General features: G+C 39.7%; 1 protein-coding gene across 37 annotated transcripts in view, besides 1 other annotated feature; it reads right to left on the bottom strand.

The window, feature by feature from the left end:
* The window catches only part of GBF1 (golgi brefeldin A resistant guanine nucleotide exchange factor 1), a 152,254-nt gene that overhangs the window by 86,233 nt on the left and 45,060 nt on the right, over positions 1 to 20,961 (bottom strand). The window lies entirely within an intron of this gene.
* Positions 4,938 to 5,232: a silencer, noted in NCBI's record as "tiled region #13217; HepG2 Repressive non-DNase unmatched - State 16:ElonW". NCBI's record gives its function as "represses a minimal TATA promoter and a strong SV40 promoter by Sharpr-MPRA in HepG2 cells {active_cell/tissue: HepG2}" and the evidence as "EXISTENCE:reporter gene assay evidence [ECO:0000049][PMID:27701403]".

The raw sequence follows: 20,961 nt of genomic DNA, 5'->3' as shown, positions 1-20,961 counted from the left end.
GTTCAAGCAATTATCTGCCTCAGTCTCCTGAGTAGCTGGGATTACAGGCATCCGCCACTAAGCCCGGCTAATTTTGTCTTTTTAGTAGAGATGGGGTTTCACCATCTTGGCCAGGCTGGTCTTGAACTCCTGACCTCATGATCTACCCGCCTTGGCCTCCCAAAGTGCTGAGATTACAGGCGTGAGCCACCGCGTCTGGCCTACAATTCTTTATCATTCAAAGAAATATAACTATCCTTAGACCTGGATTTCTACCAGAAGTTTAAGGCTGAATCTCTTATCCCTATCATCTTACAAAAAGAGAGAAGACAAATCTCAAACCTATATTCTAAAAAAAATAGTCAAGGTTAGGAAACAGGAGACAATTGCCAGGCAAAACCATAACCCTTCTTTCTTATTTAAGTCAGTTGGGCAGTTTTTTTCATAAGCAGCAGCAATGAATGGGGAATCAGGAGACCTGAGTTCTAGCTTTCCCCCTGATAAGCTATGTGACCTTGGTTTAAGTTTTAGTTTCTTCTGTGAAACAAGCTGGTGAGAATAGACTCAGAAATCACAAACTGAAAGCCAGCTTACAAATTTGGGCTGGTCCATAGATGTGTTTTGCTTAGTATTATATTGTGTTTTATTTTTTTAATAGCAATAAATGAGTTTATTGAGAATAAGTGAAACCACATTTTGGAATGAATGTTATTGTCCGCTACTTAAGATATAAGTATTTATTTGAGTATACAAATAAACTTAACAGAATATGCCAAACAAATAAATATGTATAATAACAAATACATATTTATTCAATGGAATATACTAGTAAGGTTCTGGTGACAACCCTTAATCAGTATAGCTAACAGAACTGCCTCTATTCTCGCTTAATCTGGATTCCTTTTCTCCTCATTCTAATATTCCTCTTCGAAGGAGACAAGGTTTTACCCACATAAGTCTTTTAAAAAAAGCTTATGAAAATTTTCAAAATTATATAAATGTAAATTATGTAAACAGACTAACAAACGCCCAAATATCCCAAACCCAGCCTCAATAATTAGCAACTTAGGGCTTATCTTGTTTTTTCCCTTCTATTCCCTTCTATTCCCATATTGTTTTGAAGCAAATCTTGCCTATCATATCATTTCATACATCTTTAACCTTAATATCATTATCATCACATCTAAAAGAGTAATATTGCTTTAATATAAAAATTTTAGTTAGTGCTCAATTTGCAATTATTCAATTTCTATAACTGCCATAAACTTTTAAAGATAGTTTGTTGTATAAATCACTATCCAAACAAGGTCCATATATTGCAACTGTTTGATATGTGCAGAGTTAAAACTGAATTGAATGTCCTTAGATGGCACAGAATTCTAGTCTGCCACAGTCCATACTACTCCCTATTCTTTTCATTTAAGTTATCTGCCAAGCCCTTGACAGTTTTTGAGTTTAGTTCTCTGGAGGATCTGAAGTCTCTTCCAGTTCTAAGATAACTTGACTCTTGTAAATATTGACAGAGAAACAAAACAAATGAGTGGAGCTCTATCCTTTAATCTGAAAAACTAAGAAGCAGCAATACACACTTGTTAATTAGAAATATGGGAGTAAATTCCAAAAGAATCTACTAAAAGAGATGAAAGAAGTTGCCTCTTGGGATTAGGATATATTGGTGTCTGCTATTCCACATCCTCAGGCCTACCTCACAGGCTTAACTGATATGCATTCATTGCTTAAGGACAGAGATACATTCTAAGAAATGCATTGTTAGGTGATTTCATTGTTGTGCAAAAATCATAGAGTATGCTTACACAAACCTACGTGGTATAGCCTACTACATATCTAGGCTATATGGTACAGCCTATTGCTTCTAGGCTACAAACCTGTACAGCCTGTTACTGTATTGAATACTATACACTGTAAGCAATTTTAACACAATGGTAAGGATTTGTATATCTAAACACAGAAAAAGTACAGTAAAAATACTGCATAAAAGATACAAAATGGGCCGGGCATGGTGACTCACGCCTGTAATCCCAGCACTTTGGGAGGCCGAGGTGGGCAGATGGTCAGGAAATCGAGACCATCCTGGCTAACACGGTGAAACCCCATCTCTACTAAAAATACAAAAAATTAGCCGGGCGTGGTGACAGGCGCCTGTAGTCCCATCTACTCAGGAGGCTGAGGCAGGAGAATGGCTTGAACCCAGGAGGCGAAGGTTGCAGTGAGCCAAGATTGCGCCACTGCACTCCAGCCTGGGCGACAGAGCAAGACTCTGTCTCAAAAAAAAAAAAAGAAAAAGAAAAAAAAGAAAATGGCAACCCTGTGCTGGGTACTTAGAATGAATGGACCCTGCAGGACTGGAAGTTGCTCTGGATAAGTCAGTGAGTGAATAGTGAGTGAATGTGAAGGCCTAGGACATTGCTGTATGCTGCTGCAAACTTTATAAACACTATGCTTAGGCTACATTAAATTTATTTTTAAAAAGATTTTTCTTTCTTCATTAATTAACCTTAGCTTACCATAATTTACCTTATAACTTTTAAATTTTTTTAAGCTTTTGGACTTTTATAATAATACTTAGCTTAAAACATACATACTACAGCCCGGGCATGGTGGCTCATGCCTGTAATTCCAGCACTTTGGGAGGCCGAGGCGGGTGGATCATGAGGTCAGGAGATCGAGACCATCCTGGCTAACACGGTGAAACCCCGTCTCTATTAAAAAATACAAATAATTAGCTGGGCGTGGTGGTGGGTGCCTGTAGTCCCAGCTACTCGGGAAGCTGAGGCAGGAGAATGGTGTGAACCCGGGAGGTTGAGCTTGCAGTGAGCAGAGATCACGCCACTGCACTCTAGCCTGGGCGACAGAGTGAGACTCCATCTCAAAAAAAAAAAAAAAAAAAAAAAACACAAAACATACTACAGCTGTACAAAATATTTTCTTATATCTTTATTATATAAGGTTTCTTCTATTTTTAAATTTTTTATTTTGTACTTTTTAAACTTTTTTGTTAAAAACTAAGCCACAAACACTCACATTGGCCTAGGCCTACAGAGTGTCAGGATCATCAATATCACTGGTTTCCACCTCCACAGCTTGTCCCACTGGAAGGTCTTCAGGGCAATAACACCCATGAAGCTGTCATCTCCTATGATAATAATGCTTTCTGGAATACCTCCTGAAAGACCTGTCTAAAGCTATTTTATAGTTAACTCTTTTTCTTGATTAGTAGAAAGAGTACATTCTAAAACAATGATATATAATATATGAAATAGATAAACTAGTAATGGTCATTTATTATCAAGTATTATATACTGTACATAATTTATGTGCTATGCTTTTATATGACTGGCAGCACAGGTTTGTTTACAACAGCATCACCACAAACACGAGTGATACGTTATACTATGACATTATGATGGCTACAACATCACTAAGTGATAGGAATTTTTTTACCTCCATTATAATCTTATGGGCCCACTATCATGTATGGGGTCCATTGTTAACCGAAATGTTGTTATGCAGCACCTGACTGTACACTGATGCATCTTCAGATAAATTAATATAGAGACACTGCAGTATATTTTAATGATTAAAATTTTAAAATGAAAATAGAAGAGGTTCTCTTGACATTCATGCAATATTAATCTATTTTTAAGAATGATTGAAAATTTAAAGAAATACGAAGATTTTGGAAACAGTAATTTGAAACTAAATGCCCAATAGAAACTTACATAACAAGTTTGAAGCAGAATTTATCTGAAAACTGACAACTGGACAACAGAAAGACAAAGGAAAATTATAAAGTCAGACTATCTCAAAATGCACAGAAGACTGTGTATATTTACCTCTTTAAAATATATTCTACAATATTGCTACATCAAAATTTTCATTAAAATTGTAATGACATTCATATGGAATAGAATCCCTCTGAAAGTATTTCCAAACTTGTGTGGGAAGACATCAAACTCCAAAAAATCTTAGGACTTTAGGGACTTTAGAGATCATTTGAGCCAGGCATAGTGGCTCATGCCTGCAATCCCAGCACTTTAGGAGACCAAGGTGAGAAGAAAACTTGAGGCAGGAGTTCAAGGCCAGCCTGGGCAGAACTGGCGAGAACCCCATCTCTAAAAATATGAAAAAATAAAGTAGCCGAGAATGGTGGCACACACCTGTAGCCCCAGCTATTGGAGAGGCTGAAGCAGAATTGCTTGAACCCAGGAGTTCAAGGCTGTAGTGAAGTATTGCACGATTGTGCAACTCACTCCAGCCTGGGCGTCACAGCAAGGCCCTGTCTTTAATTAACAAGTACATACATACATCATACTTGAGAGATCGTTTGGTCCAATTTTCTTATTTTTTTTATCATTAAATTTTTTTTTCTTTTCTGTTTGTTTGTCCCAGAGATTCCAGAATTTTCTTATTTTAGAGAAGAAAATGGAAAGGCCAAAGAGAATACTAGAAACTAGGACCTTAGAAAAAGTTCTAGGGGCCGGGCATGGTGGCTCATGCCTGTAATCCCAGCACTTTGGGAGGCCGAGGCGGGCAGATCACGAGGTCAAGAGATCGAGACCATCCTGGCTAACACAGTGAAACCCCGTCTCTACTAAAAATACAAAAAATTAGCTGGGCGTGGTGGTGGGCGCCTGTAGTCCCAGCTACTCAGGAGGCTGGGGCAGGAGAATGGCATGAACCCGAGAGGTGGAGCTTGCAGTGAGCTGAGATTGTGCCACTGCACTCCAGCCTGGGCGACACAGCGAGACTCCCTCTCAAAAAAAAAAAAAAAAAGAAAAGTTCTAGGGGTTTGGGTCCCTCTGCAGAAAGCCCAGTTAGAATGACTGGACACAGCAGCCTATGATAAAGGTAAAAGAGAACCTTTGTCAATGGTAAGGAGAATGACAGATGCTGGGTAACTAGCTCCCCATCCATCTGTCCAAGGCATGGTGCCACGGCAAAGGGATACAGGCAAGGCCTTTCGCTGTTCAGAATTCCACTTCTTACTTAGGAAGCCAAATATCAAGTCTCCACTCCCACGCTTTCCATTTGGTCACCTCAGTCTAACAGAAATGAGAAAACAAGAGTAAGAGCTGACCAATATCAGCACTTTCCACCTTTCTGAGAGCTGGAAACAGTAACATTTCCTCTAAAAGTCCTGATGCCTTTTCTCCACAGCCAACCAGTAAAAAGTCTGGGGAAGACAATAAAAGTGACCTAATTCCTATTTCAAAGTACAAAGCTAAACCTTAGGGTATTTATAGGCCTGGTGTCAGCCTTGTCCTCAACTCCCCTCCTATCATGGACAGCCTGCTCTCCACACACACTGCTCCCATGCCAAAAGTTCAGCCAGGACCTCTCGTTTCTACACTTCAAATGCAAATAAACTAGTTGATGCACTTCTCTGTAAGGATAAAAAAATACCACTACCTATTTAGGTTTGAAATAGCCCATAGTCTCAGACCAGTCTGGGTATTATTTAAAACAAACAAACAAACAAACAAACAAACAAAGCAGTGAATAGCTCATAGTAATAGAAAGAAAAAAAAAGAGACTTGGCAATAAAAAACACACTATCCAGCTATGAAAGAACCTGATACATGTAATACAAATCCGAAAGGTTCCTATCCAACTTCTGTCCAATAAGTGGCCAAGAGATAAGAACAGATAATTCAATAGGAAAAACCCCAAACAGTAAAACACTTGAGAAAATGCTAGTAATTAAAGAAATGTGAAACAAATTATAAAAGCATCACTTTGTCAATTAAATTAGCAAAATTAAAGAGAAGTTAGAAAACTCAATATAGGATGCAGCATAGCTACAAAACCCACTCTACTTATGGGACTATTACTTCGAGAAAATAATTTAAAAGAAAAGCAGGCTGGGTGTGGTGGCTCACGCCTGTAATCCCAACACTTTGGGAGGCTCAGGCAGGTGGATTGCTTTAGCCCAGGAGTTTGAGACTAGCCTGGGAAACATGGCAAAAACCCATCTCTACAAAATATTAATATATAGAAATTAGCCAGGAGTGGAGGCACACACCTGTAGTCCCAGCTACTCAGGGAGGCTGAGATGGAGGATCACCTAAGCCCAGGCAGTCAAGGCTGCAGTGAGCTGTGATCACACTATTGCACTCCAGCCTGGGCGACAGAGACCCTGTCTGAAAATTTAAATTAAATTAAAAATTAAAAATATAAAAAAGAAAAAGAAAAACTGTTATCAACACAGAGATAAGGTTCTACTACATATAATGAATCAAAATTTAAAAAGGATAGTTAATCTATGGCATTCTGGTTCAATGTATTTTTATAATGTCATTAAAGATGATAAATATATTAGGTAAATGCATGGAAAATTCTGTATGAAATAATGCTAAGAACTTCTGGCCCCACTGAAGAGTATCCTCAGCCAATTTCAGCAAGGTTCTATAGTGCCTATAAAAATATACTTTAAAAAATGATACTAAATGAATAAGAGGAAAAAATAATAATAAGGCATACTGATTAAACTATTAAATTATGTTTACATAATGATAAGGGTTAGAGAAGGTAAACAGTGATTTTTGTGTTTTTGTTGAGAAAGGGTCTTACTCTGTTGCCCAGGCTGGAAAGTGGCATGATTATGGCTCACTTGAAGTCTTGACCTCCTGGGCTCAAGCAATCCTCCTGTCACAGCCTCCTGAGTAGCTGGGACTACAGGCACTTGCCACCACGCCCAGCTAATTAAAATTTTTTTTTGTACAGACGGGGTCCCACTATGTTGCCCAGGCTGGTCTTGAGCTCCTGTGCTCAAGCAATCCTCCCGCCTAGGCCTCTCTCAAAGTGCTGGAATTACAGGCATGAGCCACCACACCTGGCCTAAATAGTGATTTTATGGCACAAAGGTTTTTGTTCTTGTTTGCCTGCTTTGTTACTTTTATAGTCTTCTATAGAATCAGTTAAACACAATTTTGGAACCTCTCTGATTCTATAAAACCTACATCAAAAAAACACCCAAAGGATTTTCCCAGTTATGAATTGTCTACTACGCCAGTAAATGACAACAGGAATATGAGGCCAGGGTTTATTTACAGCCTTAGGCTATTTCCTAGGAAGCCAAAGATGCTCTGGAATTTTTGTTTGTTTTGAGATAGGGTCTCACTATGTTGCTCAGGCTAGTCTCAAACACCTGGGCTCAAATGATCCTCTTGCCTTAGCCTCCCAAGTAGCTGGGATTACAGGCGCATGCCACCATGTCTGGCTTCCAGAATTTTTGAAAAAGTAAACTGATTCTCCATTGTAACAACCTCACCCCTGTTCTCTGCCCCACACTTCCACCCACCTCCTGTCACCAAGAGCTGAATAAGTATATTCTCACAAGGATTTCTATTATCAGGTATAGAGTAAGGTATGTACCAAGGAGGGAAAGACATCAATGAAACTGCATAGCTGGAATGATTACCAAACACAGAGGCAAGACAGTGTCCCTGGTTAGCTTTAGGGTCTGCCTGTGCAGTCCTCATCACTGTGGCTATCGACTTGCTTGTCCTAGAAAGGTGAAGAATAGTAAATAACTCCTAAGGCTTTTTTTTTTTTTTTTCTGAGACAGAGTCTTTGCTCTGTCACCCAGACTGGAGTGCAGTGGCATGATCTTGGCTCACTGTAACCTCTGCTTCCTGGGTTCAAGTGATTCTCATGCCTCAGCCTTCCAAGTAGCTGGGATTACAAACGTGTGCCACCACACCCAGATAATTTTTTTGTATTTTCAGTTGAGATGGGGTTTCACTGTGTTAGCCAGGCTGGTCTCAAACTCCTGGCCACAAGTAATCCGCCCGCCTCAGCGTTCCAAAATGCTGCAATTACAGGCGTGAGCCACCACATGCGGCCAACTCCTAAGGCTCTTATCTGACTGGTATACAAAGGACCAGATGAATCTATCTAGTGACAAGTAATTTCGTTTTTTTTTTTTGTTTTTTTTTTTTTCCTTTGAGACGGAGTCTCGCTCTGTCGCCCAGGCCGGACTGCGGACTGCAGTGGCGCAATCTCGGCTCACTGCAAGCTCCGCTTCCCGGGTTCACGCCATTCTCCTGCCTCAGCCTCTCGAGTAGCTGGGACTACAGGCGCCCGCCACCGCGCCCGGCTAATTTTTTGTATTTTTAGTAGAGACGGGGTTTCACCTTGTTAGCCAGGATGGTCTCGATCTCCTGACCTCATGATCCGCCCGCCTCGGCCTCCCAAAGTGCTGGGATTACAGGCGTGAGCCACCGCGCCCGGCCGTAATTTCGTTTTTAAATCACTCCCGAGCATTAGGTCTTTATCTCCATTTTGGAGATCCTGGATAGAATCCAAAAAGAGCTCATATCATTATATCATTATATATCTCAGTCTGAAAAAAACATGGTAACACTGTAACTCTAGTCAGTCTAGTTCATTTGCACCAAATTTTAGAGGATCAGTAGTAAATAGGTGGAGAAACCACAAAGGATTATCTGAATCCAGTTGAAGTGCTCTCATGAGCAGAAGCCTCCTTTGACCAGCTGCCATGGATGTCCCAGCAAAACGGGTAGAGGAGGTAGATCGATCATGCTTACTGGCTTGCTTTAGAAAAACGGAAAGTTTTTACTAGCGCTTATGGCTGAGACAGCAAAGGAAGAGAAAGAGATATTTGCCATATACATATTGGACAATTTCAGAGACATAAAGGTTTGGGAGAAGACAGGGAGACAGGGCTGACTGGGGAGAACAAAATTTTTCAAATTAAAAAAATCAATCTTGAAGTCCCAGTGAACATCTAAAAATTTCCATTTAACTTCCTGCAAGGCCAGCCTCCAAGATGACTCCCAGTGATGTCCCCAGTGATTACATCTTTATGTATTTAGGTTGGTCTATGTGACTAATATAATATAGCAGGAGTGATGGTTACTCCTGAGGTTTACTTCTGAGGTTGGGTCAGAAAACAAAGTGTGGCTTCTGCTCTCTCTCAGATCATTCACCTATGGAGAATCTAGTTTCCATGCTGTGAGCAGTCCTATTGAGAGGCCCACATTGTGAGGAACTGAGGCCTCTGGCCAACAACCACATGAATGAACTTGGAAATGGATCTTCCAGCCCACCCCTTCAAATGACTGCTGCCCTGGCTGACATCTTGAGAGACCCTAAGCCAGAACCACTAGCTAAGCAGCTCCCAGATTCCTGACCCTTAGAAATTGTGTGAAATAGACCAGGTGCAGTGGCTCATGCCTGTAATCCCAGCACTTTGGGAGGCCAAGGTGGGAGGATCACTTGAGCCCAGGAGTTTGAGACTAGCCTGGGAAACACAGTGAGACCTCATCTCAAAAAAAAAAAAAAAAAAAAAAAAAAAGAAAATAAAATAAAAGAAACTGTGTGAAATTTTTTTTGTTTTTTAATTTTAAGCTGCCACATTTTGGGGGGTAATTTGCTACCCAGCAATAGATGGGTAGGAGAGGTAATTTGTTGGGGTAATTTGTTACCCAGCAATCGATAACATAATAACATAACATCAAACTAAGCAAGTTTGATGGGGAAATGTACCATTTGATATCATTATTTCATCTACTGGTTGAGAAAGAATCATCTGCAAATTAAAAGTGGTTATTGCCTATGATACCATTAAAAGCTAAATATGCCTAAAGAAGGGGCTCCACTGGAGGGAATGAATTGTCCTTCTCTTCCAACACTAATCTAAGGCTTGTCACAGCCAAAAAGGCCCCATCAGAAGAGTCCAACACAGTCCCCTCCCAGTAATTATATTACATATCCTACAGCCATAAATGGGGGTTAGTTAAGGGTAGGTTTCACATACAAGGCAGCCACTGTAAGGGTGTCGTCTCACATCAGAGCAGTCAAGGGGTTAAAGTTGAGGCAGCAAATTTATCCCCAGAGATATATGTCTAGCACAAAGCTGAGATTCACAAGATTCTCCCTGAGTTTTCCTTACCTCTAAATGCTGGAATAACTGATGCTCACTGAATTCCGATATTTGTATGAATAAAAATGAAGGGATTTAGCAAATCTTGTTCCTGCACACAGTTGTCAAAAAAAATCTGACCTTTACAACAGGAAAAAGAGGGGGGATTTAAAGATTTAAAGAAGAGGCAGTGACTGTCTGATGTATAACAAACCTTTGAAAAATTATGAAGCAGTGAAAATCCCCTACAGGTCCCAACAAAATGTGTCCAATTTGCATTCCAGCAAAGCTTTCCATACATACCATTTGGCTCCTGTGTGTACTTCCAGGCAAATAAATCCCGAGGAATAATCCCACTGGGACCTAAGTCTGATCTCTGATATATTACTGCTACACAGCTCCAGACCAGGCTCCACAAACTGCCTTTTTGGTTCCAAATAACTAAATCAAAGTCATCCTGATAAGCTTTGAAAACAGGGAATGCGAGGAGTGGTTTAATGAATGTTACAACTCAACCTATTATAGACCACAGTACATTAGGAGAAGAGAAAGAAAGACAGAAAAAAAAAAAAAAAAAAAAAAACCCTTATGCTTTTACATCCCCAAATCTCTCAAGGCCAAATCCAGACATACCTGTCATTCACCACACCTCACTATAAAGCCTTGTTCAAAGCCTGACTTTGATCAAATGGTTAGGATGAATTTGCAAACCCAACAACACTGTGTATTGTGGTGGGGAAAGGAGGAAGGTAAGTAGAGGCTACAATTTTGTTTACTTTGAAAACAGGTTCAACCTTTTTTTTTAAAGCAACCAATGGCAGCAATAAACACTAAAATGTATTCTGATTTATAATATTTCAAGGAGATACAGCAAACACATTAAATAGCAAAATAATTTTTTTCTAAAAGTTAGAAAAACCTACCACTCAACATATAAACTGGAGAAAACAGTCAAAGAAAAAAAAAGAAGGAAAGCTACAATTCTAGAAAAAACGGAGAGAGCTAGAAGTTCCAGCGTCCTAGATTTCTGTACCAGTTTTCTCCTTTCACAAGAAGAAACTAATTTTCACCTTTCACAAGAAGAAAATAATTTTCACAAAAGAAAAACAAACTAAAACATTAATCACAGTGACTATTAGACAAATCACAAAATATATAGATGCAAGAAGTAGAAACTGAGAGACTAAAAAAGAGAGGGGTAAGAAGAGAACACTTAGGAACTCAACAGTTTGATGTAGAAGACATCAAAATAAGAAACCACCCAGCCACACAGTAAGGAGATGGGAACATTAGAGTTTTAATATCTGTACATAGTATCATTGTAAGTAGTGGCGAAGTAACATCCAAATTCAGTTTATATAGCACCTTAAAAAGAGCCAGTCATTTATCAGGAATTAGAGTTAACTCCCTCCCCAGAAGGTTATTCTGTGAGCAGGAAGATAAGCTGGTAATGTGTAAGCAAACTGAGCTACCTGTATAGTCAGCAAGACCTAGCCTATTGCCTGGTCCAGGATTCTGATGGCAAATGAAACCAGAAATACCATCATCTACTTTCAAGACCCAAAGTGTAACTGACACTCTTCTTTTGGCAAGTCAGAATTCGACCCTGTCTAGGCAACCTGTAAAATCTGTAAAATCTGTGTTCGCTGTTTATTGGAAATTTTGGAAGAAAGTAATCCTTTAGTATAAAAGCTAAAATCTCAATACCTTATTTGGCCCAGAAGAGCCATCCAGTTATTTCAGGAGAGAAGCATGTCAGAAGATCCATAAGACCTGAAAGGAGCTTTATCATCAAAGTCCTATCCAGTCTCAAAAGCTTTTGAAGCTATATAAAACAAAACAAACACAAATAACAAGTGTTGGTAAGGATGCGGAAAAACTGGAACCCTCATGCATTCTTGGTGGGAATGTAGTATGGTTCAGCTGCTATAGAAAACTGTTTGGCAGTTACTCAAAAAGTTAAACATAGAATTACCATACAACCCAGCAATTCCAGTCCTAGGTATATATCCAAAGGAATTGAAAACAGATACTCAAATACATGTATACACATGTCCCTAGCAGCACTATTCATAATTGCCAAAAGGAAGAAATGGTCCAAATGTCCATCAACGAATGAATGGATGAACAAATTGTGGTATACACACACAATGGAATATTATTCAATCCTAAAAAGAATTGAAGTGCTGATTCATGTTACAGCATGGATGACCCTCAAAAACATTATGCTAAGAGAAAGAAGCCAGACATAAAAGGACACATATTATATGATTCCATTTATATGAAATATCCAGAATAGGTAAATTTACAGAGACAGAATGCAGATGGATGGCTACCAGGGGCTGGAGGGGAAGGGAAAGTGTGGAGCAACTGCTTAATGGGTACAGGATTTCCTTTTGGGGCGATGAAAATGTTTTGGAATTAGATAGGGTACATTGTGAATGTACTAAATGCCACTATATTGTTTCACTTTAAAATGGTTAATTTTATGTTATATGCATTTCACTTCAGTTTTTTAAAAAAGCTCTTGAAAATACAAGTAAAGATCCTCTTATCTCTAATTTGACTTTATTTTTCTAAAGTGCTTTAACAGGATATGAGCTTCCCTTCTAAGAAACCATGAACAATTTCCAGTTAAAGCCTGTCGTGTCTCCTCTATAGTTTTTGTAGAGACAAGCAGGTACCTCAGTCCATAGTGCAAAGGGTCACTTGGGATTCTTGCAAAAAGTGAAACTTACCTAGTTGCTTTCCACTCACCAAAACTGGTTGCAGAAATGTCAGTGGACGTCTATGTCTGTATTCCCACTGGAGGCTCACTGAACCTAAGCTTCTTTAGCAGCTAAAAAGTCTCCCCTCCTTGGAGACTTAACATCTATTGAGACTTCACAAAGATTTCACATTATACAAGACCACAGTAAGAAATTTCCTCCTCTTCCACCACAGCTCAATTCGGAGTTCTTTGGAAACACAGGTACTTCACTGTCTCCTGTTTTGCATTCTGAATAAGAGATCCTCCCACGTTTTTCCCCTACCTACAGGTTAAAACTTGCCAACAGACAAGACTTACTGGTAGAAGCACTTTGAATAGTCATTCTTCATATTGTCACTTTGTCTTTCATATTTCTCTTTCAAATTGTTGAGGCAAAAGCATTTTCAGAGTATGAGGTCTATCCTCTAGTATTCAATACCTGTTACATCTTTGCTGTCATCAACAACCTCCCAGCCTCCTAGCAGAAGGCCTCAGTCACCCAAGCCCTTAAAGACTCCTATAATTGGTGGTTTATACTTTCTCCCCTGTCCTAATCCCACTTCATCATGCCATGAAGATACACAATATTTGCAAATTTTCTAAAGCTCTTTCTCATTGTTTTGCTCATTGCTATTTCCACAGCTTCCTTTTGGAGATAAAGCCAGGCCCTTCCTGGCCTCAAGAATTTACCTGTGCCTGGACACAACTAGAAGAGGGCAATAGTCACCAGAGGGTCCAAACACAGCTTCTATGCTCATAGCTACATATAATAAAAGCATAAACGGAGAATGATCCCCTTTCCCATTAATTAAAATGGCTCTACTAACAAGTGGTTGTTAAGGGTATCAATAAACTGCCTACCCTCTGTCATCTTAGGTTGAAGTACTTTAAAAGTTACCTTTTAGGATCCAGGTACTATCTTCACTACTACTTCTCTGGGCAAGATGAGTGACTCCTTACCTTAAGATCTGATGGTTTGTACCTCAATAGTTTCCACCTCCTTGTGATAATCTTTTAATAGTATCTAGGATCATTAGTAACCCGCTACTTTACCTCCTCTCACCTCTCCCCTTTACTCATCCCTCCGGACAGAGCATTCAGAGTCAGTTAAGTGCCATGTCTTATTGAATTTTTAAATTTTTCTACTATCTCTTAGCACTGCAGTTCTGTGAATCTCCTTACTCCAAGCCAGAACTTCAGCCTACCCAATTAGAGACTGGAATTTAAAAACTCATGTTCCTATTCCCAGATAGTTAACACCACACGTGCTGGAAATAGGCTAGTTGGGTTAGTGTTCATGCTATACTCTCAGCAGACTTTCCTACTGAACCTGGTATCCAACAACAGGGACCAGTAAGCAGCCTGAAGTCTGTTGCCAGGGAACAAGGCTAACTCAGGATTTTCTGCCATCAGTTCCTTTGGTAGACATAGCAGAATCAAAGAGAAAGGGGTTTTCCCAAAATAATTGTGATTAAAATAATAATGTTAATTTGTCTCCAGCAAGACAGAAGAGTCCAGGAACAAGCTAGACTCACCTCTGTCTCTTGTTCCTCTTCAGTAAATGGCCCACCTGAAGGTTAGCTGTAAGTCTGCCCTTATTCACGTGAAAAGCAAATAAATAACCTCATCGCCTTTTTCCAAATCATAATCACACTTTAAAAGAAGCTTTTACTGTATAACCTTGAAAATGTTACTTAATTTTTCTGGAACCTGAGTTTTATCTGTAAAAGGGGAATATTAATAAAGGCACAGTCTATCTTGTGAGTTTTTGTGAAACTTGAAAAGAATACAGGCGGCCGGGCGCGGTGGCTCACACCTGTAATCCCAGCACTTTGAGAGGCCGAGGCGGGTGGATCACAAGATCAGGAGATTGAGACCATCCTGGCTAACACGGTGAAACCCCATCTCTACTAAAAAATACAAAAAAAAAAAAAATTAGCCGGGTGTGGTGGTGGGCGCCTGTAGTCCCAGCTACTCAGGAGGCTGAGGCAGGAGAATGGCAGGAACCTGGGAGGCGGAGCTTGCAGTGAGCCAAGATCGCGCCACTGCACTCCAGCCTGGGCGACAGAGCGAGACTCTGTCTCAAAAAAAAAAAAAAGAAAAGAAAGAAAAAAGAAAAGAAAAAGAATACAGGCAAACTGTTACAGCCAAGTGGAACCTAACAAGATGTGATGACTAAATGTAATGTGGTATCCTAGATGGAATCCTTGAACAGAAAAAGGCCATTAAGTAAAAACCTAATGAAATCTGAATAAAGTATGGACTTTAATTAATGATGAATCAATATTTGTTCATTAATTGTGACAAATGTGTCATATTAATGTAAGATGTTAATAACAGGGGAAACTGGGCATTGGATAGATGAGAACTTCTTTACAACTCTTCTATAAATATGTTTATAGAAATAATCTATTATAGATTATGTATGAGTCTAAGTTATAATATAACAATTTATATAAATATAATTTATAGATAATTTATAAAAATATAATTTATAGATTATAATTTATGTGCTTTATAGATTCTAAAATTGAAAGGCTATAATGAAAAACCACTTTATAAATTATAAAGTTCTAGTCAATTGTAAAATATCACATAATTTAGTAGATTTAGTATTTTATGCAGATTGTTGGTAAGGTAGGTAGCTATCTTAAGTAGCTCAGATAACAGAGATCACTTGAAGAGTTAAGTGCTGGTGTGGAAGAGTCTAGCCCCCAGAAATATCCCAGCTGTTTCCTGCCAGCTGGTGCCTCATGTCTGACTTGCAATAGAGTTGATTTTCTTTACGTAATTATTTTTGCCTCTCAACCCGTCTATTTCACTAAAAGAACAGTAACTTTTTAAAAAGAGGCTTTAAGCAGATAGGTGCTTTAATTTAAAACTTCAAAAAGTGAAACTTAAGGCATGGGTACGATAATTTATTAGGTCCATTTCCTAACTGGCTGAAACAGATCTGATCTCTACTCCCAACTTCAAATGTAGAAACATGCAGACATCCAGAGATAGAATTCAGCAAGTGTACCCATCCCCTGCCAACTCCTGCTCTGCCCTGGGAAAAAAAAGAAAAAGAAGAAAGCAAAAGTCCCAGAAGTGCAGGAAATTGTTTCTCAGACGAAAGACAACACTTCCTTTCCCAGAACAATCCATCTCCCACACTGACATCCTGCTCCTGCTATATTTACCCAACCCAAATCTGCCGATGATATACTTCCAGCTGCACTCCTGCCACATGGTCCTGTCACTCAACTGGAGCACTCAGAGGGGAATCTGTCCAGAGGGCAGAGCCTGGAAATCACTACACACTAATCCATGCTTCCTCTATTGCTAGCCTTCAGAGTAAAGTGAGACAAAATATGGACAGTATTACTCCCTGTTTATTTTGGAAGTGACTGGGGAGACAAGAGGTACTTCATTTTATATAGTTGCTAATTTTGACTGCTCTCATGGTAGCCAGCAGAGGAACCTGAACAACGAAGAGATTGAAATGGGAGGTTAAAAATAACTCTGTTAATGCTAGCAAGCCAAAAAACATCACTTAATAGCCTCTTCCTACCCAACCCACTAGGATCAGGCTATCAAGTCACATTACAGGGTAAAACCTTCAGTTCCATGTAAACAGATCCAAGGAGTCAAGGATGGGACAATTTCATTCACCCCATCTCATCCTATCTCATAGAACATTCTACTGAAAGGGGAAAACCCACACACTGGACTGGGTAAAGGTAAATGTTAGAGCTGACTCCCATTTTCCTATTTTAGGAGTTCTGTATTCTCTGTCCTTCTCTCCTACCCTTGCCTCCCCATCCCCAAGTTCTTTGCTTCTGCCCCTTTCCTCTTTCTGACTCTCTAGTTGTTTTCTTTTGTCTCTACTTATTTCTCTCTCTCTCTCTCTCTCTCTTTTTTTTTAAGACAGGGACTCCTCTGTCACCCAGGCTAGAGTGCAGTGGTGCCATTATTACTCACTGCAGCCTTGATTTCTGGGGTTCAAGAGATCCTCCTGTCTTAGCCTCTCAAGTAGCTGGGACTACTGGTGTGTGCCACCATGCCTGGCTAATTAAAACAAAAAAAAATTTAGTAGAGATGAGGTCTCACTAGTTACTCAGGCTGGTTTCAAACTCCTGAGCTCAAGCAATCCTCTTGCGTCGCCCTCCCAAAGTGCTGGTCATTACAGGCGTAAGCCACTTTTTTTGAGGGCAAGGTTCCCTCGAAGAAACAACTGATAGCTGATAAGGCATTCATTAGTAATGGTCATAATTATCATATCATTAGCCTATTCTCCGTAGTAATAACAATAAAAAACCTGAGTCTCAAGAAGCAATACTTCTTTTTCTCTCTGCTTTTGGAGGCTCAGTCATGCATCCTAATCATGCTTCAAAGGAATGAAAGGAAAGGCACAAGGAAAAAATACAGAAAAATAAGAGGGAAGGAAAGAAAAAAATGATAGAAAAGGAGAATAGGAAAACGTTTCTCCTAACCTTTTCTCTCTTAAAGCTCCTGGACAATGGGCATTTCCAAACTTTATGGATTTTGTTAAAGCTTAAGTGGAAGTGCTTAATAAGATGAATCAAGCTATTAAAATAGATTTGAGAACAAAAGCTGAAATATAATGATGAATTCATAGCAAATCCCACTTATTAAAAGAGGGAGTAAATTTTAAAAAAAGAATCCACTTCACATGGCTGTTGTCAGTCTGGCTTAGAGAAAAAGCACTTATGCTGTTGGTTGAGTGGAGAACAAATTCCACTGGGTGATGTGGCCATTCTAGGAAATTACCAAGTTCCAAGTCAAGCCTCATTGAGCCAAACCTTTTTCCAATTTTCAAACTCTTTTTAGTTATTAGATTTAGACATAAAAAAATATAGATCTTTAGGGTATGCAATTGTGTTTCTTATAGGAAGAGAAACAAACAGAAGCAAGCTAGAAAGACAGTTTGTGTCCACCTAAGAACAAGTATTTTAAGCAACCACTCAAATTTCACCATAACTGCAACCAGAAATTGGTTCAGGCAAGAATTATCAATGTATGTTAGGTATTAGAGGGAAAGTTTAAAGAGGAGTATGATCTTCAAATGTTTCCCTACAGATTGCTTATTAGTTGCAAGGGGAAATAACATCTACACAGTAAATAAATCAGATTAACACTTGACCAGATGATCAAAATTAGTATCACCAATGAACAGCACCTGCAGTTGTGATACCCTGAGAAGGACCCTATATCAGTAGTGGTATATATTACAGATTCACGATAGACACACACCACCTGAATCTAACCATAAGAAAACATCAGACAAACCCAAAATGAGAAATATTCTTGAAAGAAATAAATAAATTAGGGAGACTATAGTTAACAATAATTTGCTGTATATTTCCAAATAGCTATAAGAGAAGATTTGAAATGCTCCCAACACAAAGAAACGACAAATGTTTGAGGTGATAGATATCCTAAATACAATCATTACACATTGTACTCATGTATCAAAATATCACATGTAACCAATACATAAGTATAATTATTATGGATCAATTTTTTAAAAAGAAAGAACACAGACATGAACTGGTCTGTAGTTATAAAAAATGTCAATGTCAGCTGGCTGTGGTGGCTCATGCCTGTAATTCCATCACTTTGGAAGACCAAGGCAGGAGGACCAGTTGAGGCTGGGAGTTCTAGGCTGCAGTAAGCTACGATCCCACCACCAGACTCTGTAAACAGTTATGGAGTTACAGATAACTCCATAACTCTAAAAAAAAAAAAAAGTGTTTTTGTTTAATGTTTTTTTGTTTGTTTTCTTAATCACCCAGGCTGGAGTGCAGTGGCATGATCATAGCTCACCGCAGCCTCCAAATCCTGGGCTCAAGCAGTCCTCCCACCTCAGCCTCCTGTGTAGCTGGGTCTACAGGCACACGCCACCATGCCCAGCTAATTTTTTTTATTTTTTGAAGCAATGAGTTCTCACTATGTTGCCAAAGCTGGTCTCAAACTCCTGGCCTCAAGCAACCCTCCTGCCTTGGCCTCCCAAAACGCTAGAATTACAGGCATAAACCACTGGCTGAAAAAATTTTAAAAAAATGTTTTTAATGCTAATGTCATGAAGCATAAAGAGAAGCTAAAGAACGGTCCCAGATTAAAGGAGACTAAAGAAACATGACAACTAATGTAATTTGTGATCCTTGGCTGAAGGGGAAAAAAAAAACAAATAATAAAAGTTTATTGACAAAATTGGAATATGAATAGTAAATTATTGTATCAATGCTAAATTTCTTGAATTTGATAACTATACTTAAATTAGTAAGAGAATATCCTTGTTCTTAGGAAATATGCACTGAAGTATTAAGGGATAAAAGATCATGATAGGCTGGGTGCGGTGGCTCACGCCTGTAATCCTAGCACTTTGGGAGGCCGAGGTGGGCGGATCACCTGTGGTCATGAGTTCGAGACCAGCCTGGCCATCATGGCGAAACCCTGTCTCTACTAAAAATACAAAAATTAGCTGGGCGTGGTGGCGGGCGCCTGTAATCCTAGCTACTCAGGAGGCTGAGGCAGGGAGAATCGGTTGAACCCGGGAGGCGAGCCGAGATCACGCTATTGCACTCCAGCCTGGGTGACAGAGCGAGACTGTCTGAAAAAAAAAAAAAAAAAGTCACAATGTATATAACCTACTCTCAAATGATTTAGAAAAATTTATTTATTTATGTACTTTTCTTTTTTTGAGACAGGGTCTAACTCTGTCACCCATGGTGGAATGCAGTGGCATGATCACAGCTCACTTCAGCCTTCACCTCCCAGATTTAAGTGATCCTCTTACCTCAGCCTCCCAAGTAGCTGGAACAGCAGGCACATGCCACTACACCTGGCTTTTTAATTTTTTGTAGAGATGGAGTCTACCTATGTTGCCCAGGATAATCTCAAATTCCTGAGCTCAAGTGATCCTCTCATCTTGGCCTTCCAAAGTGCTGGAATTATATATGTGAACCACTGTGCCCAGCCAAAAAATAATTTTATGTCTATATATACATACATACATACATACGTGTGTGCATGTGTGTGTGTGTGTGTGTGTGTGTGTAAGTAGCAAAAGGACATATGGGAGACCTATTATTCTTGCACCTTTAAATTTGAAATTATTTCAAAATAAAAATTCAAGAAAATTCACCATCTGTTCATTTGATTCAATGTCCTGATACCAATTAGGTAAAAAGGAAATAGGGATGAATTCACATTCTAAATAGCAGTAAAACAACCTCTAGTAGCCAACTTTTTGCTTCCCTTTGGAGCTTTTGTTAGACTATTACCAACCCAAATATTTCCCATTCTCTACCTTCCTTTACTACATGCACACAACCCATTTTGTTGACTATTGAGCCTACGGCCTACCCAGGATTACTTAGGACCCTGGCACCATCTCCCATTCTCTAAATAAAAAGCAGTTCTACCAAAGGCAAGCACTACTCATTTTCTTCCTTATAGAACCTTGGCAACAGAAACATTTTTTTTTTTTTTTTTTTTGAGGCAGAGTCTAGCTCTGTCGCCCAGGCTGGAGTGCAGTGGTGCAATCTCAGCTCACTGCAACCTCCACCTCCCAGGTTCAAGCGATTCTCCTGCCTCAGACTCCTGAGTAGCTGTGACTATAGGCGCCCGCCACCATGCCCAGCTAATTTTTTGTTTTTTTAGTAGAGACGGGGTTTCACCGTGTTAGCCAGGATGGTCTCGATCTCCTGACCTCGTGATCCGCCTGCCTCGGCCTCCCAAAGTGCTGGGATTACAGGCATGAGCCACCGCGCCAGGCCTTTTTTTGGAGATGGAGTCTCCCTCTGTTGCCCAGGCTGGAGTGCAGTGGCGCGATCTCAGCTCACAGCAATCTCTGCCTCCCAGGTTCAAGCGATTCTCCTGCCTCAGCCTCCCCAGTAGCTGGGATTACAGGCGCTCACACCCATGCCCGGCTAATTTTCATATTTTTAATAGAGACGAGGTTTCACCATGTTGGCCAGGCTGGTCTAGAACTCCTAACCTCAGGTGATCCACCTGCCTCGGCCTCCCAAAGTGCTGGGATTACAGGCGTGAGCCACCACGCCCAGCCCAGAAACATTATTTAAAACCCCTGAAATGAAACTGATTAAGATGCAGTCTTGGCTCACTTGGGAGGATTAATGAAACCTACTTGGAGTCTGAGAACCGAAGTCCATTTTCCTTTGACTATTTTCCCTACAATGCTTCTGTCCAGGTGGACTGAACCAAGAACTTTTTTTCCCAGGCCAGAGGGAACAAGGATCCTATCAGAGTCAACAGATTCTGGTCACAAAAAGTATTTAGCTATAGTAGGTATTAAATA

The sequence above is a fragment of the Homo sapiens genome, chromosome 10 (genome assembly GCF_000001405.40).
Source record: "Homo sapiens chromosome 10, GRCh38.p14 Primary Assembly".
Lineage (NCBI taxonomy): Eukaryota > Metazoa > Chordata > Mammalia > Primates > Hominidae > Homo > Homo sapiens.
This window is presented reverse-complemented; position numbering and strand designations above follow the sequence as displayed.